Source organism: Homo sapiens, chromosome 9, assembly GCF_000001405.40.
Source record: "Homo sapiens chromosome 9, GRCh38.p14 Primary Assembly".
Taxonomy (NCBI): Eukaryota; Metazoa; Chordata; class Mammalia; order Primates; family Hominidae; genus Homo; species Homo sapiens.
Genome location: NC_000009.12, coordinates 104592094 through 104618723, shown reverse-complemented (window position 1 = coordinate 104618723; position 26630 = coordinate 104592094). Strand labels below are relative to the sequence as shown.

Genomic DNA, 26630 nt, shown 5'->3' with positions numbered 1-26630 from the left:
GGAATACATATGGGTTATTGTTGAGTTCTCCTGACCTGGGAGTGAGGTTTTAAAGTAAATTACCAAATCTCTTATGCAATACACTCTGTATTGCTTTTATAATTCATTAAAAAACCTCAGGCAAGTATGGGACACAAACAGGTAGTCTTGGAGCCTAGGCTTTGCTACACATTAGTTATATGACTTTAGGCTGAACTCTCTCACTTTAGGTTTTCTTATCTTTCAAATGATAATGTGGAGTTTAAATTAAGTAATGTGAAAAAAAATCACAAAGTTCCTGGCCAAGAATGAGTGATCAATATCATAAGCTTTCCCCTCATATTTCTCTTCCTGCATTGTTAATTCTTTTCATTCCATTTCCGTATATTCCTTCCTCCTCTTCCCTATTTTCTCTTTCTTCAATACTTTTATGGGTCCGTGGCAAATTTTTATATTTGTACATTGGTATACTTGGATTTACCATGTAAATAAATTATATTAATTTTTTTGACTTCTTACAGGTAAAAGAGAGACATTTAAATGGAATGGGAAAACCAAACCATTCTGGTGGAATTTTTTCTGAAGGGACATTCTGTTCACCCAAGGCTTGAGTTACTCTTTTTTGTGCTAATCTTCATAATGTATGTGGTCATCCTTCTGGGGAATGGTACTCTCATTTTAATCAGCATCTTGGACCCTCACCTTCACACCCCTATGTACTTCTTTCTGGGGAACCTCTCCTTCTTGGACATCTGCTACACCACCACCTCTATTCCCTCCACACTAGTGAGCTTCCTTTCAGAAAGAAAGACCATTTCCTTTTCTGGCTGTGCAGTGCAGATGTTCCTTGGCTTGGCCATGGGGACAACAGAGTGTGTGCTTCTGGGCATGATGGCCTTTGACCGCTATGTGGCTATCTGCAACCCTCTGAGATATCCCATCATCATGAGCAAGAATGCCTATGTACCCATGGCTGTTGGGTCCTGGTTTGCAGGGATTGTCAACTCTGCAGTACAAACTACATTTGTAGTACAATTGCCTTTCTGCAGGAAGAATGTCATCAATCATTTCTCATGTGAAATTCTAGCTGTCATGAAGTTGGCCTGTGCTGACATCTCAGGCAATGAGTTCCTCATGCTTGTGGCCACAATATTGTTCACATTGATGCCACTGCTCTTGATAGTTATCTCTTACTCATTAATCATTTCCAGCATCCTCAAGATTCACTCCTCTGAGGGGAGAAGCAAAGCTTTCTCTACCTGCTCAGCCCATCTGACTGTGGTCATAATATTCTATGGGACCATCCTCTTCATGTATATGAAGCCCAAGTCTAAAGAGACACTTAATTCAGATGACTTGGATGCTACCGACAAAATTATATCCATGTTCTATGGGGTGATGACTCCCATGATGAATCCTTTAATCTACAGTCTTAGAAACAAGGATGTGAAAGAGGCAGTAAAACACCTACCGAACAGAAGGTTCTTTAGCAAGTGAATGCAAAATGTACTGGAGTGTGAACACACTTGATATTGTTGAAACTTCAGAATTATGTTAGAATTTTGGATACTTTTACTATTTTTCTGCATTTTCATATATTATGTTAAAATAATGAGATACAGCATTTCAAAATTATTGCATGTCCACTCTAGAGAATTTGCAAGATACAGGGCAGTAGGATGAAGAAGACAGAGGGGCTACCTATTACTCTAATAGTGGGAAATGGCTACTTTTCAACATTTTGAACAGTATCTTTCGTATTATGGTTTTTAAATTTTTGCTGTATTGGAATTGGGTGTGATGTGCCTTTTTATGTTCACTTTTCTACATAATGTTATTTCATAGGCAACATTTCATTGACTCTTTCAAAATAAATAAAGCCCTCTGTTGTAGAAAAAGCAAAACAGAAAAAAACCCAATATACTGCACTCACATTTTCCAGTGGCAAGCCTTGTGTTATAGTTTCACATTAATCTCCAGATCCTGTTGAGTCATTAAATACTATTTTCTTGTTCTGTATTTAAATATTTTTGTGTGAAGCTGAGTATTTGGGACTATCAAGGGGCAGGAGATAAATAGAGTTTAAAAGCAGGGCCTATGCAATCAATCGGGATATCCTGCTTTATGGTCTTTCTTTGCTTTAACTTATAGGTTGGCTTTAGCATAAAGAACATTTTGCAAAATTAAAAATAGGTTTGAAAATCAGTCTACTGGTCCAGATAATAATGTGGACTAGTTTTGGGTTGAATGGAGTGTCCTATCAATGCCCATTTAGAAGATGCCCAATTTTTTTGCTATCCCGAGGGAATTCCAATATTTTTCCAAGTCTTAGAAGAATGTCCAAGCTCTTAATTTTTAGTACAAATACTATTCATGTCTTGTCTCTGTTACTAACCAGCTTAATTTGAGGAAGAAGAGGATTGGGGAATGTCAGACATTATCTTGCTTTTCCTTGGTTTTTACGTCAACATTTTACTCTATGTGAAGAACATTTTAAATTTACAGCCCAAGATGAATGATGAAGTGTGTTCAGGAGTGAACCACCTTCTAGGTAATCAGTTTAGCTGAAGCAATTTTTATTAATGGACCAGTGAATTTAGAGTATATTGGGCATAAACATATTTTACGTAGACAAGTAAGAATTACCTGCTTGTGGAATCTTTGGGTTTAGTCACTCGTTTAATCTTCCCAAGTTCACTTGTTAATTTTAGTGGAAAGAATATTAAACAGTCACAAACTATATTTAAATATATCCATCATAGTTGTTTACAGATTAAATCTGATGGCAAGAGTTGAAATTATTGATAATTAAATTTACATCCTGACAAAATGGGCTGTGAAAATCTATTAGTTCCCATACACGAGTTCATTGGACTTTTTGCACCCACTAAGAATTCCTGGTAGGTAGAAAACTCCGGAAGTCAGGCATTTTATGTTTGACTCATAGTCAGGTTGTCTTGAATGCTCAAATGCTAATTTTGTTTTCCTTCACAACTTAAATCCAGCCACTTTGATAAATTCTCTGGGATGACTCAGGTGGCTCCATAGTGTTACATCAGATTTATACCATTTTTTATTATTATACTCTAAGTTATAGGGTACATGTGCGCAATGTGCACGTTTATTACATAGGTATACATGTGCCATGTTGGTTTGCTGCTCTCATCAACTCGTCATTTACATTAGGTATTTCTCCTAATGCTATTCCTCTCCCAACACCCTACCCCCCGACAGGCCCCAGTGTGTGATGTTCCCCACCCTGTGTCCAAGTGTTCTCATCGTTGAATTCCCACCTATGAGTGAGAACATGTAGTGTTTGGTTTTCTGTCCTTGTGATAGTTCACTGAGAATGATGGTTTCCAGCTTCGTCCATGTCCCGGCAAAGGACATGAACTCATCCTTTTTTATGGCTGCATAGTATTCCATGGCATATATGTGCCACATTTTCTTAATCCAGTCTATCATTATGGACATTTGGGCTGGTTCCAAGTCTTTGCTATTGTGAATAGTGCCGCAATAAACATAGGTGTTCATGTGTCTTTATAGTAGCATGATTTATAATCCTTTGGGTATATACCCAGTTATGGGATCACTGGGTCTAATGGTATTTCTAGTTCTAGATCCTTGAAGAATCTCCACACTGTCTTCCACAATGGTTGAACTAGTTTACAGTCCCAACAGTGTAAAAGCATTCCTATTTCTTCACATCCTCTCCAGCACCTGTTTTTTCCTGACTTTTTAATGATCACCATTCTAACTGGCGTGAGATGGTAACTTATTGTGGTTTTGATTTGCATTTCTCTGATAACCAGTGATGATGAGCATTTTTTCATGTGTCTGTTGGCTGCATAAATGTCTTCTTTTGAGAAGTTTCTGTTCATATCTTGCCCACTTTTTGATAGGGTTGTTTGTTTTTTTCTTGTAAATTTGTTTAAGTTCTTTGTAGATTCTGGATATTAGAGATTTATACATTTTTGATAGAAAATTAATTAAAGGAAGAAGAAATTTTAAAGCACACATTTCTCCTTACAGGAGAATATTAGGAGAGTTTTTCTCTCACAGGGTTGTAGAATCAAGGTCTGAAGAAAATAAAGGCATGTTAACTGTCTTGATATATTTATGTGTTCAAATTTGCTGGGCAAAATACACAATCATTATAATACTGACATAATGCTTTATTTTAATACTTGAGCCTCTAGAGGAGTTTTCATTCAGAAATTTTATTTTAAAAGCTTATGGAGGATCATTTTGTTGTTAGCAATTTGTTTTTTCTAATTTGGAGACAAAGTAAGATAAACTTATCTGATATAACAGTCATGTATCTCTGTGTGTGTGTGTGTGTGTGTGTGTGTGTGTAGTGTGTGTGTGTGTTTGTAGTGTGTGCGTGTTCCTGTGATTTTTCTACCAGACAGCAAAATCTACCATTTCTACCAGATAGCAAAATCTGCCATTTCTACCAGATAGCAAAAATTTCTACCAGATAGCAAAATCTACAATTCTTAGTGTAACTGAAGAAGCAAGCCACACCCCCATCACATGCTCTGCCAGGGGGATAAGGGAATTTTTCCTGTTTCACTTCCATAGCACACTAAGCCATCACTTTAATCACAGCTTTCACCACTTTGTATTGAAATTCACTAATTACATGAATGTTTTTCTTACTAACTATATGATTCTTGAAGGTGAGGACTGTGTCTGAGGCATTTTTATATTTGCAGATGTTCTTTCTACAAGTTTCATAGAGTATATATATATAATACATTTCATGTAAACAAGTGATTTAAAAATGTAAAATTGTGACTGTTATCATTAATTGATATATCTTTATCCTATTTGATACTTTGTTATTAGCTGAAAAGAATATTTAAGAAACCAGTGTAAAAATGTAAAATACACAATAGAAAAATGAATAGAGGACATGAGTGCACAACTCACATGAAAGAAAATAAAACTCTTTAAGACACACCAAAATGTAAATAGTAAATATCTATAAAGATTAAAATGCCATTTACAATAATGACAAGATACCATTTTAAGCCCTTTAGATTAGATTGAAAATCTAAATTATTGACAACATCCAGTGTTGATAAGAGGAAGATAAAATTAGCGACACCATAACACTACATTAGTATTATCCTTTTAGATTCATAAAAAATCTTCATTGATTTTGACCCACTCATTTCACTTTTAGAATTCTGTCTGAATAAATTTTGAAATTATTTTGATAAAAATAAATTTTAAAAATAAAGAAGAGAAAAAATGAAAACAATCATTCAGAAGTGTTCAGCCTTAAGATGCCTCAGTTTGCTCTCATTAGAGAAAGGCAAATTATTTTAGCCTAAGTTATTACATTGTTTTATGATTAGTATCAGCCTTCTTTCTGAACTGTGGTTTTTGCCAGGCTATTTAATTATAGTTTATTCTTGGCTTTGTTTTTTACACCATTATATACTGCTTGAGGATATCTTTTCTTGTCTTGCCTTCTTTTACCTTCTCTTTCTGTCCCTGTCTTCTTTCCTCTTTTATTCCCTCTCTTCCTTCCTTTATCCTTTTCCCATTCCTCCATCCTTCTCTTCCTTCTGTCCTTTCATTCTTTTTTTTACAGTATATATCACCGTTAGAATAAATGAAAATATATCAATGTCAAAGAGTATACCAATAAACTCATCTTTACATGAAAATATCATACATTGAAAATGCATTTAGTTTATCTAACTTGCCAAACATCACAGCTTAGCCTGGCCTACCTTAAATGTGCTCAGAAGACTTACATTAGCCTATGGGTGGGCAGAATCATGTAACACAAAGCCTATTTTATATTAAAGTGTTGAATATCCTAAGTAATTTATTGAATATTGTGCTGAAGATGAAAAGTAGAATGGTTGTATGTTTCTTGAAGTACAGTTTTTACTCAATGCATATTATTTCACACCATCTGTAAATATATGTTTATTCAGAGTCAACTTTTACTGTAAACTAAATCCATAAAGTGAATGGGAAATTTGTGTACAGAAAACATCAGTTATACTTCCAAAATGATGAGAGAGATTGAGAGAGAGAGAGAGAGAGAGAGAGAAGCTCCCTTCTGATTTTGTGTATGAAATAGAGTAATAGGCCTCCCATAATTAGGTCTTCAGGGCTTTATTTCTGAAGTTTCATAAGTTTTATACACCTTTCATCTTGGAGGCAATTTAAAGTTGTGCACAGAGGTTTAGAAGAGTCCTTAAATATTTAAATTGTCTCTTAAATCCTGAGGCAGATCTTTAGGAATTTGTGGGTCTCCACAATGGGATGGTATTTCAGCATGCACTTCAGAGGCAAATTCAATTTGCCCTATTCCTAAAATTTATTGCCAAATATTAATTTTCTTTCTATTTTTAAACTAGAGGAATCTGATGATACTTTTTCTGAACTAGAAGAATTTCATGACACTTTATCCTAGTAATCATGTCCATAACACCATGTTTCTGTAAACATCAACTAGTCAATCAATTTCTATGACAAAATGATTACTCACTCGTCTTGCCTCTTTGGAGATTCAGCTACTAATGAGTGGCTATGAAGACTGGCTGCAAGTAGAAAAGTAAGACAAAATTGTCTGTTGCTGTTGCACCCTATAAAGAGAGGCAACCTCTGGTTTGGAGGTAAGTTATTGCAAAAACAAGAACAATGTTTCAACTGTAAGAGAGACTTGGACTGATTGGTTAAATCAGTTTGAAAATGACATTTTTTTTTTCTGATTTGAGAGTGACTTTGAATATTGGAAATGGAATTTAAGTGTCTATTCACTGGGATGTAGTAGGAACAAAATAAAAACCATGAGACCAAAAGAGCAGTTCTGCATGCAAAGGCAATTGAACAAAAACTGAATTTGCCCAGCCCTTGTGAATTACTTTATGTCAGTGTGCAGTTTTTTATGACATTACAAAGTATTTGGACACTGTATCATCTACTTAAGCTAATTAAAGCTTATTACACAGTAAATAGCAGATTGTGTGTTCTTTAGTATAGAATTCATATTAAACAAATCCTTGACTGTGGTTCCCTAGCAGTAACTCAGGTCAATTTGGTTCAGTTACCAGTGAACCAGTTGAACGGTGTGCTAGGTAATATGACAGGGACTCTTTATACAACAGTATCATGTGAGGAGAACATTATGACAAATTTGGAAAATAAAAAAAAAAACTAAATAATCTCTTGGGATCTGAAATATATAATTTGCCAAAGGAATGCATAGTCAGAAAGAGATCATCTTAGGGAATATCCTTATGTGTTTGCATTAGCATTGGCGACTATTTTGAATATTTGCTTTTCTGTCATTAGGTCATGATTGTAATAGTGAGTAACTTTCCTTTTCCTCTTTTATGTTAATAGGCTTGCTCAAGATGTTAAAATAGTTTCAGTCAAGAAAAACTCAGTCATGTGTTTTAAAACTAGCAACACACTGGCACCTTATTAAAATCTTATCTTTTATACCTAACGTAAATGATGAGTTAATGGGTGCAACACACCAACATGGCACATGTATACATATGTAACAAACCTGCACATTGTGCACATGTACCCTAGAACTTAAAGTATAATAATAAAAAGAAGACTTCAAAAAAAAGATAAGGTTTTATATCCAATAAAACTGTCAAATATAAGAGGACACAATAAACTGTTATCAACATGAAAAAAAATAAAATCCTATCTTTTTTATGAAATAAATTGACTTCGATAAAAGGTGGATCTTTTGGATGATTTTTCTTTTCTGCCACCTAATTCACTGGCATCCAAAGTGTTGGAGTGACTGTGATAAAACGTATCCTAATTTTTAAAAAATGAAAATAATACCATTTATTAGAACATAGTGTGTGATCTGACTAAGTAAGCCACATATACCTGACCTCATGGAAGGATGATAATGACTAGTTCAGGGATGTCAAAAAAACTCTTAACAGAATGAAAAGTCATTAAAGCCAAGCATGAAGGAAACCACTAACAATAGGAACCCTTGCTGTGCTAAGTGAGTTATACACATCATTTCATTTAATCTTATGCACAAGTACATGGTATAGATGTTGTCCATATCTTCATTCTACTGATGACTATGGTGATCAGAGACATGTCCAGGTCACCTAGTTAATAAGGGGCAGAGATGGCATTTGAACCAAGCCTCTTCCAAAGTCTGTGACCTTGACAATATTATGAAATATGCTTGATGGTATATCTTGTAGCACAGAGGTAGCTCATGAAACAATAATTTTTGCAGAGAGCAGATTTTTACAGGTTTGCATATAATCTCCATTATTCAAAGAACTCCGCATTGTAAAATGCCCTCTGGGGTCTCAAGTAGTTAATACCTTAATCCAGAAAATCTGAAAAATTCTAGAAAATGTAAATTGTATGAAAAGCTACAGAACGATAGGGGGAATTTAGAATAGGGAAATCAGGTTGGGTTTGAAGTGATCCTGAGGAGACTAATTATGTCTCGAAATTGAGAAGATGGACCTGAGATTCACAGCAAAGTACCTCATAATGTTAGGTGGAGGAAATATTCTGAAGATAAAAGGCTCCTTGAACCTGAAAATGGAAAAGAATAATAGCCAACATTTACTGAACCATAATTTTATTCCAGGAAATTTTCTAGATCATAAAAACATTAAAATGTTTCGTGGAAAAAAAGTGACATGGAATTGGATGTTAGACCCTAAGCCAGGTCAAAGAATAGCCTAGAGCTTGTTGGTAGGAAATGAGACAGACATAGTACTGCAAGTCCTACTGATACTAAATAAATTATCTTAAGTATTGGGAATGTGACTATAAAGTACCTGTTCATCCTCAGCAATTACCATTTAGTGTGTGATATTGAACAAGTTAGAACAGTTTTCAAATGCATGTGGTCATGTCCTATGGCAACGGATGGCTTTAATGTAGTATGCTATTGGAAAGGTGAAAGGAGAAAGGCTAGGAATCCCACAAACAAGAACTCTTTAGCTTAAATATTATTTTATTAATAGGAAATACATTCACAAGGTTCAAAATTTTAAAAATGTGCTAAAGGGTATACTGTTAACAGTCCCGCCCCAATTAATAAGCTATATATTCCCTTTTCTGGGGATAAAAACTATTGTTTATTTTTCTAGAGATACTCTATGTGTGAACAAAAATACATGCATGTATATATACACATACACATATATATATAATCTTTTTTACACAAATGATAGTGTACCATATATACTGTTCTATTACTTTTCCATTTAATGTTTCTTGAAGATCTTTCCACATCAGTGCACAAAACATCCTTACTCCTTGTGACGGCAGTACAATATTGCATTATTTCTATGTTTTCTTCTTGTGGAAATTTAAATTGTTTGCTACATCTGCTGTTACAAATGATACTTTAATGAATCCATTTCTATTAAAATCTCTTTGGCATGTGCCAGTATACCTGTATGATAATTACTGAGAAGTCAGTCTGTGGTCAAATGTTATATATATATGTATTTGTTATTTTGATAAATATTGCCACAGAGTGGGAGGTATTAGGGAATTTCTGTTTGAAAGTTCCCTGGGATTTTGGTCACTGGTTTCTTAAATATTCTTTTCAGCTAATAACAGAGTATCAAATAGGATAAAGATATGTCAATTAATGATAACAGTCACAATTTTTTTTTGTGTGTACTGTATATATAATATTTGTATATTTATGTTGCATATAAGATATATTTTCTATATATAAAATATATAACTATGTGTTCCATTTTGTATATAACTATCTTTATTATTTCCTTAGGCTATATCTCAGACACAGAATGTGTGGGCCAAAATTCATAAACTTTTGCCTGTGATATAAAAGGAAGACATTTGGTAATCTATAGGGATTGATGTGAGTATATATTACTCACATTCTCATCGAGGAAAATTGCTGCAAATATACTATAATCAAACACAAAACAATAAATACAATCCTCAAGAGAGTGAAAAAAAGGGATCAATGATGATCAATGAATATATGTATAGATAGTTAGACATATTGACTATCCAAGCTTGTATAATCTAAAGGCTGAAAAGGAACTCTTAAAAAGGCAGATTGTAAGGACTTTGTAAGTATTATACCAGTAAAACCTAGGAATTAGGAGATTAGAATAAAAGTGGAGTAAAAGTATTTTGAGTTTTGGCTTCATTTAGATTTCAGGGATAATTAAGGTGATTAGAGCACACCCTATTGGAGAAAACAGTTTATGGCCTTAGAAGTTAAATTATGAGGAGAGAAAAAGAAGGCAATCACTTCCTGAATGAAAAAAATGAGTAGTGTTCAACTTAATGAAAACAAATAGTGAATGACAACTTCGTCAATTAGCAAAAATAAAAAACTGGGAAAAAGAGAATGCAATAATTCAAATAATGAATAAAAATAAAGTATGATGGAAAGAATAAGATGTAGTACATTAATAATTATGTTAAAGTAAATAGAATAGTCTGAATATTCTCATAAATGACCCAAACATTTAAAAAGTAGTTAAAACATACTCTGATATTTGTTATTTAAAAGTAGTATACTTTAAACAAAGTGAAAAAGAGAAGTTAAAAATAAGAAGTTGTACAAAGAGATAGCAGACAAAAGCAAACTAAAAGAAAGCGGGAGTGTAATATCAATATCATAAAAGTAGAATTAAACTTTAAAGTGTCAAATAGAATAAAGATACATCAATTAATGATAAGTTATAATTTATGAAGATGATATATTAACCATAAATCTATCTACACTACACTAACATAGAAACTAAGCCTATATAACAAAAGGATTCTAGGTATACAAGAATTTGATAACAATATTTACATAGAATTCATTAAATCTAGGCAGCAGAAAATAGGTTATTTCAAAGATTTTAATAATATATTTAATAAATTTTACATGTATACCTGTTTTGTGCATGTATTTAAAACTATGTATCTTCCCAAAGAGAAATCACATTTTTTTGTTAACATTTACAACATACATCATGCAATTGGCTGCACAAAAGTCCATAACTAGAGAATTATAGGTCATGTTTTCTATTAAAATAAAATGGGGCCGGGCGTGGTGGCTCACACTTCTGATCCCAGAACTTTGGGAGGCTGAGGTGGATCACTTGAGGTCAGGAGTGCAAGATCAGCAAGGGCAACATGGCGAAACCCTGTCTGTACCAAAAACACAAAAATTAGCCAGGCGTGGTGGTGCATGCCTGTAGTCCCAGCTACTCAGAAGGCTGAGACAGGAGAATCACTTGAACCAGGGAGGTAGAGGCTACAGTGAGCCAAGATGGCGCCACTGCACTCCAGCCTGAATGACAGAGCGAGACTTTGTCGCAGAAAAAAATAAAAATAAAAATATATAAATTAATTAAATAAAATGGGAAATAAATAATAAAAATAGAATGAAAATGCCTAATCACTAAATAATGAAGAAAGATGCTTGGATTTAAGAGGAACTAAAGAGAAAAACAAAAAAATTATCTAGAAACCAGTAAAAAAAATTCTCATAGAAAACTAAGTCTATAATAGAACAAAAACTGTTCTAAGTGCCTTTATTTGAGCAAGAAATAGAGGAGTAAGGAGGAGGAAATAAGAATTTTTCTTCTTATTTCAAGAAATTAGATAAATAGTATTAGAATAGAGAACATAGAAATTAGAAATCAGAAACTTAGAAAAATAGATCCGAATAAACAAGAAACTTATGAAGACAGAAACTTAATGAAACTCAAAAAGTCACGAGGATAAATCTAACCTAAAGCTGTTTTTTTTTTTTTTTAAAGACCTGTAATATAGGAAAACCCCTTGTGAGTCGAATAAAGGAAAAAAAAAAGTCAAACAGGCATCATAATGAAAATGAGAACTTTTCATGTAAGGGAGGACACAAGAATTATAATGATCAAATGCAACTCTGTGACAAAATATTTGTTATAGAAATGAGTACTTTTCTAGCAAAATATAAAGTATAAAATCAACTGCTATCAAATTACCATATTGAAATCTTCTTTTTTTTATCTGATCACAGTTTTTATCTGATATTTCTTTTGAAATATTAGTATTGTTAATTAGAATACAAGGTATTCTAGTCTGTGAGCCAAATTCTCTTTGCCAAATGAGTATTAGAGCTCGAATTCTGAAGCCATACTGCTTGGGTTTAAGTCCTTGCTCTTTCATTTATTTGTCTTTATGAAATTGACCTTAAGCAAATTACTTAACTTTTCTGTGCCTTATTTTCCCCTCTACACAATAGGCTTGGTGATACTAATAGTAACAGTAATTACCTCATAGGCTTGCTATTCAGACTCCATTATGTAATGCACAAAGAAAACAATTAATAGAGGATTGGCACACAGTAAGAAATGTAGCAATTATTTTGCCTTTGATTTTGTTCATTCATCCAAGAAATGTTTTTGAACATTTGCATCTGTGTCTGTTCTATTCTAGCTACAGGGGCTGTGGAAATAAGCAAGAATAAGTACCAGCCCTAATGAAGTTTACATTCTACTGGGAAAGAGAGACAACATACGTAACATAGTATAATTTCAAGGAGTGACAAGAGCATCGATCTATTGTGTGGTGATTTATAGCCAATAAAAATAGTTTAGTGTTCAAGTATATGTAATACAATGCTCATTTCTATTATAACCTACAGTTTATGTATGTGATGACAAATATGACAAAAAGTTCAGACTTCAACAGGAAGATTTAGGTTTGAATCTTAGCTCTGCTATATAGTATTTACCTTTGGTCAAGTTTACTTAACATATCTGCTTTGATTTATTCATCTGTAAAATATGGATACTAATACGCCTCTCCTAGAACTGTGATGATATTAAATGAATTAAATGGCTGTAGCACGAAACATGTTAGTTTTATCTTCCCTTCCCTCTCTCCATTCACTCATTCATTCATTCCCTTCCCTCTCTCCATTCATAATTCCCTCTTTTCTGTCCACTTTTCTTTATGCTCTCTCTTCTTTCTTTGGTCTTTTCCTTTTTTATTTTTCTTTTTCCTGGGGATTATGATACATATTCATTGATACATGCTTGAAAGTAATCAGAGTAAGATAAATATTTGTCTTAACATGCTCTCTCTTACAGGTTAAATAGAGAGTAAAATGGAATGGGAAAACCACACCATTCTGGTGGAATTTTTTCTGAAGGGACTTTCTGGTCACCCAAGACTTGAGTTACTCTTTTTTGTGCTCATCTTCATAATGTATGTGGTCATCCTTCTGGGGAATGGTACTCTCATTTTAATCAGCATCTTGGACCCTCACCTTCACACCCCTATGTACTTCTTTCTGGGGAACCTCTCCTTCTTGGACATCTGCTACACCACCACCTCTATTCCCTCCACGCTAGTGAGCTTCCTTTCAGAAAGAAAGACCATTTCCCTTTCTGGCTGTGCAGTGCAGATGTTCCTCGGCTTGGCCATGGGGACAACAGAGTGTGTGCTTCTGGGCATGATGGCCTTTGACCGCTATGTGGCTATCTGCAACCCTCTGAGATATCCCATCATCATGAGTAAGGATGCCTATGTACCCATGGCAGCTGGGTCCTGGATCATAGGAGCTGTCAATTCTGCAGTACAATCAGTGTTTGTGGTACAATTGCCTTTCTGCAGGAATAACATCATCAATCATTTCACCTGTGAAATTCTGGCTGTCATGAAACTGGCCTGTGCTGACATCTCAGACAATGAGTTCATCATGCTTGTGGCCACAACATTGTTCATATTGACACCTTTGTTATTAATCATTGTCTCTTACACGTTAATCATTGTGAGCATCTTCAAAATTAGCTCTTCCGAGGGGAGAAGCAAAGCTTCCTCTACCTGTTCAGCCCATCTGACTGTGGTCATAATATTCTATGGGACCATCCTCTTCATGTACATGAAGCCCAAGTCTAAAGAGACACTTAATTCGGATGACTTGGATGCTACCGACAAAATTATATCCATGTTCTATGGGGTGATGACTCCCATGATGAATCCTTTAATCTACAGTCTTAGAAACAAGGATGTGAAAGAGGCAGTAAAACACCTACTGAACAGAAGGTTCTTTAGCAAGTGAGTGCAAAATGTACTGGAATATGAACACACTTGATATTGTTGAAACTTCAGAATTATGTTAGAATTTTGGGTACTTTTACTATTTTTATGCATTTTCATATATTATGTTAAAATAATGAGATACAGCATTTCAAAATTATTGCATGTCCACTCTAGAGAATTTGCAAGATACAGGGCAGTAGGATGAAGAAGAAAGAGGGGTTACCTATTACTCTACTAGTGGGAAATGGCCCCGTTTCAACATTTTGAACAGTAACTTTCATATTATGGGTTTTTTTTTCTGCATTGGAATTGGGTGTGATGTGCCTTTTTATGTTCACTTTTTTCCATAATGTTATTTCATAGGCAACATTTCATAGAATCTTTCAAAATAAATAAAGCCCTCTGTTGTAGAAAAAGCAAAACAGAAAAACCCCAACATAGTGTACTCACATTTTCCAGGGACAAGCCTTGTGTTATAGTTTCACGTTAATCTCCAGATCCTGTTAAGCCACTAAATACCAGTTTCTTTTTCTGTATTAAATTTTGTGTGTGTGTGAAGTTGAGTATCTGGGACTATCAAAGGGCAGTAGATAAATAGAGTTTAAAAGCAGGGCCTATGCAATCAGTCAGGATATCCTGCTTTATGGTCTTTCTTTGCTTTAACTTACATGTTGGCTCTAAAGAACATTTTGCAAAATTAAAAATGGGTTTGAAAATCAGTCTACTGGTCTAGATAATAATGTGGACTACTTTTGGGCTGAATGGAGTGTCATATCAATGCCCATTTAGAAGATGCCAGATTTCTTTGCTGTCCCGAGGGAATTCCAATATTTTTCCAAATCTTAGAAGAATGTCCAAGCTCTTAATTTTTAGTAAGAATACTATTGATGTCTTGTCTCTGTTACTAACTAGTTTGATTTGAGGAAGAAGAGGATTGGGGAAAGTCAGATACTACCTTGCTTTTCCTTGGTTTTTACGTCAACTTTTTTCTCTATTGAAGGACATTTTAAATTTACAGCCCAAGATGAATGATGAAGTGTGTTCAGGAGTGAACCACATTCTAGGTAATCAGTTTGGCTGAATCAATTTTTATTAATGGACCAGTGAATTTAGATTATATTGGGCATAAACATATTTTGCACAGGCAAATAAGAATTACCTGCTTGTGGAATCTTTTGGGTTTAGTCACTCATTTAATCTTCCCAAGTTCACTTGTTAATTTTAGTTGAAGGAATATTAAACAGTCACAAACTATATTTAAATATATCCATCATAGCTGTTTACAGATTAAATCTGATGGTAAGAGTTGAGATCATTGATAATTAAATTTACATCCTGACAAAATAGGCTATGAGAATCTATTAGTTCCCATACACCAGTTCATTGGACTTTTTGCACCCACTAAGAATTCCAGGTAGGTAGAAAGCCCTGGAAGTCAGGCATTTTATGTTTGACCCACAGGTAGGCTGTCTTGAATGCTCAAATGCTGATTTTGTTTTCCTTCACAGCTTAAATCCAGCCACTTTCATAAATTCTCTGGGGTGACTGTGGTAGCTCCATAGTCTTATATCAGATTTATAAATTTTTGATGGAAAATTAACTAAAGCAAGAAGAAATTTAAAAACACACATTTCTCCTCACAGGAGAATATTAGGACAGTTTTTCTCTCACAGGTTGTAGAATCAAGATCTGAAGAAAATACAGGCATGTTACCTGTCTTGATATATTTATGTGTTCAAATTTGCTGGGCAAAATACACAATCATTATAATACTGACATAATGCTTTATTTTAATATTTGGGCCTCTAGAGGAGTTTTCATTCAGAAAATTTATTTCAAAAGCTTAAGGAGGATGATTTTGTTGTTAGCAACCTGTTTTTTTCTAATTTGGAGACAAGGTAAGATAAACTTATCTGATATACCAGGCATGTATCTGTGTGCATGTGTGAGTGTGTGTGTGTGTTCAGTTTGTGTATGTGTAGTGTGTGCATGTTCCTGGTGATTTTTCTACCAGATAGCAAAATCTACAAAGGTAAGTATTTCTCTATATTCTTACCATCTTTACTCCCATTGCACTCAATTTAGAGCATGACATTTATAATATGATTCAATATACATTTATATCCATGAATAGGAAAATTATATGGAAGGAGGTGCAACTGGAGCGAAGCACATACTTTTATATCCCGCTGAAGTCCCAAGACAGGTTCATGATTTGGTTAAGAGCAGAGATACAGCAAAAAAGGCAAAATTACATTGCTCTTAATCCAATAAATTATTTCATCATCTTCGTACACTTTTATGCCTGACCAATTTCCAAATATTCTAAGCTTGAGATTATGTCAACTTTTTAGGGTCCTGGGGACTTCTAAAATGAACACTTAAAAATGTAGCAATATATTGGCTATCAGCTAATTCACATACATCATCTCTCTAAAATCCTGTGATCTGGGCTATAGTGTCGCTATCTCATAGATGAGGCCACAAAGCTTATGGAAGTTAATACATCTTGTCCAAACCTCAAAGTATGCAAGTTAAAGACAAGCATACACACCTGGCTATTCTTTCTTGAGTTAGTTATTCTTTATACTACAGCATGTTTACTTTTCCACATTGCTTGTCATGACATCTAACACCAGTATTTCTTGGCAGCATATCTATAATGACCAAAGAAACTATTACCTGCTTCTCAACTTTCATAGCAAGTATATAAAATTTCCGGAAAATAACTTAAAAAAGAAAATTAATTTAATTATTTATAAAAGAACCTTGACACCATCACATGTTGTGTCCAAAAATGATGCTTAATCACAATTGATAGGAATTAAATCTTAAATTAGGGGAATACCTGACATTAATTGAGATATGAGAAGGGGAGGAATTTGATATTAGCTCTAATCTTCCAGAAAAGACTATAAAAAATAGATTTTTTTTTTTTTAGTAAAGATAACACTCACTTTACAAAAACAGGGGCTCCTAATTTATGGTGTGTAAGTAAAATTTTATCTTTGAAATTATGAAATTTTTTATGCTGTTTTTGGATGACAAATACCTTTAATTTATTTATATATCTAAAATTCCAAAGGAAATATGTGCTTATTGTAAAATAGTCAAATACAACGAAATGTGCAAACTAGAGAATTATAGGTCATGTTTTCATATTAAAATAAAATGGGGCCGGGCACGGTGGCTCATGCCTGTAACCCCAGCACTTTGGGAGGCTGAGGTGGGCAGATCACTTGAGGTCAGGTGTTCAAGACCAGCCTGGCCAACATGGTGAAACCCTGTCTCTACCAAAAACACAAAAATTAGCCAGGCGTGGTGGCACATGCCTGTAGTCCCAGCTACTCAGAAGGCTGAGACAGGAGAATCACTTGAATCTGGGAGGTGGAGGCTGTAGTGAGCTGAGATCGCACCACTACACTCCAGCCTGAATGACAGAGGGAGACTCCGTCTCAGAAAAATAAATAAATAAATAAATAAATAAATAAATAAATAAATACATAAAATAAAATAGGAAATAAATAGTAAAAATAGAATGAAAATGCTCAGTCACTAAATAATGAAGAAAGATGCTTGGATTTCAGAGGAACTTTACAAACAAAAAAATTATCTAGAAACCAGTAAAAAAATTCCCATAAAATACAAAGTCTATAATAAAACAAAAAGTGCTCTAAGTGCCTTCATTAGAGCAAGAAATAGACGAGTAAGAAGGAGGAAATAAGAATTTGTCTTCTTATTTCAAGAAATTAGAAAAATAGATTTGGAAAATAGAAATTAGAAATCAGAAAATTAGAAAAATAGATCCGAATAAACAAGAAATTTATGAAGATAGAAACTTAATGAAACGCAAAAAGTCAAGAGAATAAATCTATCCTAAAGCTGTTTTTTTTTTTTAAAGACCTGGAATATAGGAAAACCCCTTGTGAGTTGAATAAAGGAAAAAAAAAGTCAAAGAGGCATCATAATGAAAATGAGAAATTTTCATGTAAGGGAGGACACAAGAATTATAATGATCAAATGCAACTCTGTGACAAAACATTTGTTATAGAAATGAGTACTTTTCTAGCAAAATATGAAGCATCAAAATCAACTGCTATCAAATTACCATATTGAAATCCCCTTACTGACCAATCACATTTTTATCTGATATTTCTTTTGAAATATTAATACTGTTAGTGAGATTGCAAGATATTCTAGCCCATGAGCCAAATTCTCTTTGCAAATTCTCTTTAAGCATTAAGTTATTAAGTACTGAGTATTAAGTTTTGAGTATTAAGAGCTCGAATTCTGAAGCCATACTGCTTGGGTTTAAGTCCTTGCTCTTTCATTTATCTGTCTTTATGAAATTGACCTTAAGCAAATTACTTAACTTTTCTGTGCCTTATTTTCCCCTCTACACAATAGGCTTGGTGATACTAAGAGTAACAGTATTACCTCATAGGCTTGCTTTTCAGACTCCATTATGTAATGCACAGAGAAAACAAATAATAGAGGGTTGGCGCAGAGTAAGAAATATAGCAATTGTTTTGCCTTTGATTTTGTCTGTGCATCCAACAAATGTTTTTGAACATTTACCTCGGTGTCTGTTCTATTCTAGCTACAGGGGCTGTGGAAATAAGCAAGAATAAGTACCTGCCCTTATGAAGTTTACATTCTACTGGGAAAGACAGACAATATACGTAACATAGTATAATTTCAAGGAGTGACAAGAGCATTGATCTATTGTGTGGTGATTTATAGCCAATAAAATAGTTTAGTGTTCAGTTTTACATAATACAATGCTCATTTCTATTATAACCTTCAGTTTACTATGTGATGACAAATATGACAAAAAGTTCAGACTTCAACAGGAATATTTCGGTTTGAATCTTAGCTCTGCTATATAGTATGTACCTTTGGTCAAGTTTACTTAACATATCCGCTTTGATTTATTCATCTGTAAAATATGGATACTAATACCCCTTTCCTAGAACTGTGATGATATTAAATGAATTAAGTGGCTGTAGCATGAAACATGTTACTTTTATCTTTCCTTCCTTCTCTCCATTCATTCATTCATTCATTCATTCCCTTCCCTCTCTCCATTCATAATTCCCTCTTTTCTGTAGACTTTTCTTTATGCTCTCTCTTCTTTCTTTGGTCTTTTCCCATTTTATTTTTCTTTTTCCTTGGGAATTATGGCACATATTCATTGACACATGCTTGAAAGTAATCAGAGTAAGATAAATATTTGTCTTAACATGCTCTGTCTTACAAGCTAAAGAGGGAGTAAAATGGAATGGGAAAACCACACCATTCTGGTGGAATTTTTTCTGAAGGGACTTTCTGGTCACCCAAGACTTGAGTTACTCTTTTTTGTGCTCATCTTCATAATGTATGTGGTCATCCTTCTGGGGAATGGTACTCTCATTTTAATCAGCATCTTGGACCCTCACCTTCACACCCCTATGTACTTCTTTCTGGGGAACCTCTCCTTCTTGGACATCTGCTACACCACCACCTCTATTCCCTCCACGCTAGTGAGCTTCCTTTCAGAAAGAAAGACCATTTCCCTTTCTGGCTGTGCAGTGCAGATGTTCCTCAGCTTGGCCATGGGGACAACAGAGTGTGTGCTTCTGGGCGTGATGGCCTTTGACCGCTATGTGGCTATCTGCAACCCTCTGAGATATCCCATCATCATGAGTAAGGATGCCTATGTACCCATGGCAGCTGGGTCCTGGATCATAGGAGCTGTCAATTCTGCAGTACAAACAGTGTTTGTGGTACAATTGCCTTTCTGCAGGAATAACATCATCAATCATTTCACCTGTGAAATTCTAGCTGTCATGAAACTGGCCTGTGCTGACATCTCAGGCAATGAGTTCATCCTGCTTGTGACCACAACATTGTTCCTATTGACACCTTTGTTATTAATTATTGTCTCTTACACGTTAATCATTTTGAGCATCTTCAAAATTAGCTCTTCGGAGGGGAGAAGCAAACCTTCCTCTACCTGCTCAGCTCGTCTGACTGTGGTGATAACATTCTGTGGGACCATCTTCCTCATGTACATGAAGCCCAAGTCTCAAGAGACACTTAATTCAGATGACTTGGATGCCACTGACAAACTTATATTCATATTCTACAGGGTGATGACTCCCATGATGAATCCTTTAATCTACAGTCTTAGAAACAAGGATGTGAAGGAGGCAGTAAAACACCTACTGAGAAGAAAAAATTTTAACAAGTAAATGAGAAAGGTGAGAGTAATTTTATAATCACAATATGGAAATCAATTAGAGAAACCAAGGTTAAACAGATAGGTTCTCGTTGCTGTTTCACATTCATCTCTCGAAGTTCTAAAGCTCCAAAATACACTTCTCTGATTGCGATACATAATGAAAAGAAGTAAATAAATAAATTTCAGTGTTTGGAAATAAGTTTCTATTCTGTTCCATTGGTTGATATGTCTATTTTTATCTGAGTACCATGCTCTTTTGATTACAATAACTTTATAACATATTTTAAAACTGCAGCATATGGTGCTCTCAGCTTTGTTTTTGCTTCAGATTGCTTTGCCCAGGCAGGGTCTTTTCTAGTTCCATGTAAATTTTAGGATTGTTGTTTCAATTTTTATGAAAAATGACATTGGAATTTTGATACAGATTGCATTGAATCTGTAGATTGCTTTAGGTAATATGGACATTTCACAATATTAATTCTTCTAATCCATGAACATGTAATATCTTTCGATTTACTTATGTCTTCTTCAATTTTTTTATCAATGTTTTATAGTTTTCAGTGTATAGTTCTTTTACGTCTTTGGTTGTCTTTTTTATTTTGGAGAGATTGGCAACCAACTCATCTAAAATGATATGTGATCATTAAATAACAAGTAAAAGAATGAGGGTTCAAAACAAAACAACTCTACATTTTTTGCTGGAACATGTTAGCTCTCTTATTAGAAAATTATGTTTATTGGCTTGTATTTTGTGAGATGAGGGGTATATAGTGATGAGTCTATTTTGAGCTTGTACACCTTGGCCTATAACTTATTGTTAACATTAAAATGTAATGGGATAATATCTATAGACAAATAGAAAATTTCAAATAATCCCTTATTCCCCATCATTGCTAGGGATTCGACAGTTCTCTTAAAATTGCCTCATAGCTATACATTTGCACATATACTTCTTTTTGTTCTATGGATTTGTATATGCCATTGCTTTATAAGACATCCTTGATATACTTTTTGCAATTAGCCTTTTCAGGCTCTTACAGACAGCCTCTATTATACTAAAAGCTACGTAAAATGAAATCTTTAAAAATGAGATGTTATTCTCGGTCCCTAAATACTGGGGTAGTTTGAAGATGTCAGGATGTGTTGTCTGCCATGATTCTGAAAAGACTAACATTAAAAGCCATAGTTTTCATTCTCCACTGGCCTGGGGAAACTGATGTTCTGTTATCTATGAAAACCTGGGGGAAAATATATTATTTAATATTATCTTGAGTTATCATAGCCATGAACTACCTTGAGTTCTAAAGATTAAGTCTCCAGGGTTTCCATATATAGTTCATTAAGTGTCTTCTTTATGTGAAGACACTTTGTTGCTCAGACCAATGTCATGGAAATTTGGAGGTTCTGGGGAAATTCTGGAGGCCATGCCCTGCATACAGAATGAATGCTGATCTAAGGTAAACTAGAGCTACAAGGAACTAAAGTCATGTGCCATTTAACAACGTTTTGATCAATGACAGATAACATATAATGGTGGTCTCAGGAGATTATAATTTTATATTTTTACTGTGACTTTTCTTGTTATTTTAGATACACAAATACCATTGTGACACAATTGCCTATAGTGTTCAGTACAGTAGCATGCTGTACAGCTTTGTAGCCTAGGAGCAATAGGCTATGCTATGTAGCCTCAGTGTATAATAGGCTATATCATCTAGGTTTGCATAAATATACCCTGTGATGTTTACAACATAATAAGATTTGACAATTATGCATTTCTCAGACTGTACCCCTGTTTTTATGACTGTAATATTTTTTCATGCTGAAATCTCCATGAGTCTAAAGAACATTACTCTCTGTAATACTCTTTAAATTTGCAGACATGTAGATTTGTGTCTAGTTTTCCTAGACCCCATGGAAAATGTTGGTCAGAAACATACAGTTTTTAAAGTATTTAGCTGCTGTTACATTTTGGCAGAATATTTAATAAATAGATCCATACTTATTAAAAAAAGAGGTATGCTCAGTTTTTAATGTTTGGATCCAGTTAGAAGGGATGTCAGCTTATTGTTAATAACACTGACTCAATTAGTATAGATAACCTTTTCATCTTCTCAAAAAAAAGAAAGCTTTATCCTCAAGTATATTTTTTCACCTTAAGTTTTCAAATGCTTCGTGATATGAGTTCCAATTACTGGGTTCCAGGCAGAATGTAAGTTGGAACATAAAATATTCAGGACAATTGACCCTGGTCTGTGCTAAAATAGGTGAAGCTTTCCACTGAGGTTTGGGCCTCCATCTCTTAGTCTCCCAGGCACAAGAAATCCTGTCTCAGAATCTACTCATACTGCAGTTACGTTGGCCACATCAAGATCTACCAAGAGACTCTATTATAATGATGTTTTCCACAATTTACTTTGATATTTGTAATTTCCTTTATATTTATTATACACCAGATAGTGTCCAGGTGTTTTTTTACTTATTTGCATTTCTTCTGTGCTGCCTTACTAATATCATTAGAAAAATGTTTTATAGGATTCCTGGGAGCTCATTTATACACTTCGTATGAAATTGGCTTTACATTTGCTATAATATTTTGGTGCTAAAAATATTTTATGTTTTCTGCAATTTGCTGAAAAGAGAATCTTAATTTTTACAGAACTCAAAACCTAGTTTTAAATGGCCCATAGCCAATGCCAGGCAACAGTAAATTTTTCAAATAAAGTTTTCTCATTCTACCTTATTTTTCTCAGCTCCTAAATACTGTGATAATAAATATTGCTTGTGTTTGTGACAGCTATATCCAGGGTTAAAATGTTTTTTGATCCCGAATATCAATTATAAGAAGAATAGGATAGCACAAGGCAGCCAGCACTGGTACACTCTAAAGTGCTAAACATATGCAGAGCAATAACCAGAAGCAATCTTCCTTCCACCACAGATCCAATATCAGGTCCCCAAAACATAGTTGTTTTGTAGTCTTTTAGGAAATCGTTAGTCAGGTGCAGCCACATGAGGAGACACAGAAGAGGGTCAGGAAAGCAAAGTTTATTATACCCACAAGTCTTAGAGATAAGGGGCATGATATATCATACAGGGCCACATGGGGAAGCCACCAGGATGGTCAGGAGGCAAAAAACAGGTGTGCAGGGAAGGTTTAGGCCACTGCCTTTATTGGAATTTCCACAGGAAAGGCAAGTCAAGGCACAATGAACAGTTTAGGATTGGAAGGTTTGAATAATTTCTGCAGGCTTTGGGCTAAAGGAGTGATCTCTGGTTGTCTGGCAATTGTCACTGGGAACTGGGGTTTGAGGGCCAGATAAAGAAGGTATGGCTCTGGATTCGTTAGTTTCCATGTCAGAGGCATGCTCCTACCTGAGCTTTTTGCTATCTCTAAGAATTCACTAGCCCATGGAGGGCAGTCTCTTCCAAGCCAGGAATGTTTTTTACAATGTCAAAGCATCATAATATACAAAATTTAAAAAAAATCTTTACAATGCAATGTTCAATTCAATTAAACATTTATTTCCTGGTGCCTAACATGTCCTTAGCACTGTTCTAAGCACACAAGATACAGTGGTAAACAGAACAGGCATTCTTGCTCTCATAGAGCTCATACTCCAGCCAGGGAGTCAAATAAAAAAAATGTAAAAAAAAAAAAAAAGGTTTACCATATTGTGCATCCACTTCGTAATATGGTGGAGTAGCTAATGGTTCTACTAAGAAAAGTAAAAAAATCTACGTAGAATAAAAAGTAAATGGACTTTATTATTTCTGTAGAAGTCAGGATATGAAAAGCTAAGATTCTGAAGAAAAGAGAAGTTTATTTAAATGAGCCAAACATTCTGTACTCCTCTTTTATTCTCTTGGGACATTTGCTGATTCTTAATTGTTGCTTGATAGGCTGAGAAACTGGGCAGAGGGCTGCTACTAAGAGACAGAAAAAGTGAAAATAGATTTTGGCATTGTCATGGGTCTAGGAAGACAAAACATGAACTTTGGACCAGCTAAGACACCCTGTTCTTGAGAGGCCAAGGTCCCAAACTGAAGGGATGTGCAGATGAGTGGTCCCCACCGTTGTCATTGGTTTTCCACATCAGGCATTTGCTGACTCTAGCCTAGTCAGAACAAGAAGCCAGGATTGTACAAAAAATAACTAAGAATGTTAGTTGAGATTGTGACTGCCTCTTGTGTTTATGAGATCAAAATTGGAGTCTGGGACCTAAGGAAAAAAAAGCTTTTTAATGAAATCTCCAGAATCTCAGTTGGGACTCTGGAGACTCTGGAGAAAAGAATCTAAGAAAAGGAGGTGAATTAGATTTTGGCTTATATTTACAAAGTCTGAAATCCAACTGTAAGTTATTTCAACCCGTCTTTGACCTAAGACAATCTCCCCTACTCTGGGTTTCTACTAGAGAATAAAGTAAATCCTCTTTGGATAAATAAAACATCACCCAGAGATTCTACATTTTTTTCATCTACAATATCTGGCATTTAATAAAAAAATTACAAAGAATAAGAAAACAGGACCAAGAGACAAAAACAGTTAATTGAAAGACCATCAGGTGATCTAAATTTAGAAGTAATCAGACGCAGACTTTAAAATAACTAATGTTAACCTGCCGTGAGCATAGATAACAAGATGAGGACTTCACCAGACAACTTAATATTATATTAAAAAAATTGAAATTATGTACCTCCAAACCACAATAACTGGTATTAAGAACTAAATACATAGATTTAATAGCAAAATAGACAAAGTTGAAGAAGGGCTTAACAAGCTGGAAGGTAGATCGGTAGAAAATAACCAGACTGGACACATGGAGAAGACAAAGGAAGGAAAATGCAGAAAGGACTGTGAGAGCTACGTGGAATATAATGGAAGTCTAACATATATATAACTAGTTGCTCAGAGGGAGAGGAGAAAGAGAAATGTAATAGAAGAAAAAATGGCAAATGTCAAATGAAATTGTTAAACTTATAAAAGACATCAAGCCACAGATTTAAGGAGATCTACAACATCAAGGAGGATGAGTTAAAAAAAAGCCACCTATAAGAGCCTTGTTATAAAATTTCAGAGACCAACTCTAAAGAGAAAATATAAAAAGCAATGAAAAGAAAAAAAAGACACATTTTTTCAAAGAAGCAGCAACAAAACAGAGGCAACTTCTCAGCAGAAACAATGGATACCAAATATAAAGAACAGCATTTTTTAAGTGTTGAAAAAAAATTGCCAACCAACAAGTGTATACTCAGTGAAAAATCCTTTAAAATTGAGAACAAAATGAAAACATTTCCAGACTCTCCCCCTAACTTCCCTCCATCTACACAAATAATTATTCTTTAGTAGTCTTACCTTGAAAGAAATCCTGGCTTGGTATGGTGGCTCATGCCTGTAATCCTAGCACTTTGGGAGGCCAAGACAGGTTGATCACTTTAGCCCAGGAGTTTGAGACCAGCCTGGGCAACATGGCAAAATCCCATCTCTACAAAAAATTACAAAAATTAGCTGAGTGTGGTGGCATGTGCCTGTAGCCCCAGCTACTCAGGAGGCTGAGGTGGGAGTATCACCTAAGCCAGTGAAGGTTGAGGCTGCAGTGAGCTGTGATTGCTGACATTCTTCTCAACTGGCTTGGGTTCCAACACTTCAGGCAAAGCTGTTTCCTTCAAGAATGCCCACTTCACCCTAATCTGTTTCTCACACACCTTGACTCTTCTCCCCTCCTCAGGTGAGCTCTTTTCACTCCATTTAGGTCTTTCTTCAGGGATTCTCTCTTCACCCCTTTCAGACTTGGACACCCATATTCTGAACCTCCCCATCCCACCACGGATGCTTTTCTTACCCCATGAGGACTCTGACAACTCACTCCAGACCACATGCCTATGGTGTGCAGGTGTTTTCCTTATCCCACTTGTGTTCTAATATCTTCTATCACTCAGCTTTTCTTTGCATGAGTGGTCCTCAACCAGGTGCTAGGATCCACACCTTCCTCTTGTGTGTATGCTCCTTTCATGCTGCTTGGACTTTGACACCCTGAACTGAGCCTCTCTTCCACGTTGACATCTTCCTTATTCTGGACAGGCTCCAAAACATCATACTGGGCAGAGCAAGTAAGGATGCCTTTCTCAATGCCATTGGGTTATAAAAATCTTTACTGGTTTTACTGAACAAGTAAGTTCATAGCCTCAGCTCATAGCCTGAGCTGAGTTCCTCACCCAGCTCAGGCTATGATAGTGTACCAGGCAGCTCAACTATATATTATGCAAATATATATTTTCTAAAAAATACAACTATATATTATTCACTAGCCAGTCCAAGGTTTTTTCTAATGAAAGGAAAATATTTTAAATGAGACTGTAATGAAAATATTTT

At 34.9% G+C, this 26630-nt stretch overlaps 3 protein-coding genes and 1 long non-coding RNA gene across 4 annotated transcripts in view; all 4 read left to right on the top strand.

The window, feature by feature from the left end:
- Nucleotides 1-26630, top strand: part of LOC107987105 (uncharacterized) — a 217429-nt gene that overhangs the window by 128916 nt on the left and 61883 nt on the right. The gene's annotated exons all lie outside the window — the stretch shown is intronic.
- OR13C9 (olfactory receptor family 13 subfamily C member 9) lies at nt 520-1476 on the top strand. Its single transcript, NM_001001956.1, has one exon. The coding sequence runs from the start codon at nt 520-522 to the stop codon at nt 1474-1476; it is 957 nt and encodes a 318-aa protein (NP_001001956.1).
- Nucleotides 13097-14053, top strand: OR13C2 (olfactory receptor family 13 subfamily C member 2). Its single transcript, NM_001004481.1, has one exon. The coding sequence runs from the start codon at nt 13097-13099 to the stop codon at nt 14051-14053; it is 957 nt and encodes a 318-aa protein (NP_001004481.1).
- OR13C5 (olfactory receptor family 13 subfamily C member 5) lies at nt 19311-20267 on the top strand. Its single transcript, NM_001004482.1, has one exon. The coding sequence runs from the start codon at nt 19311-19313 to the stop codon at nt 20265-20267; it is 957 nt and encodes a 318-aa protein (NP_001004482.1).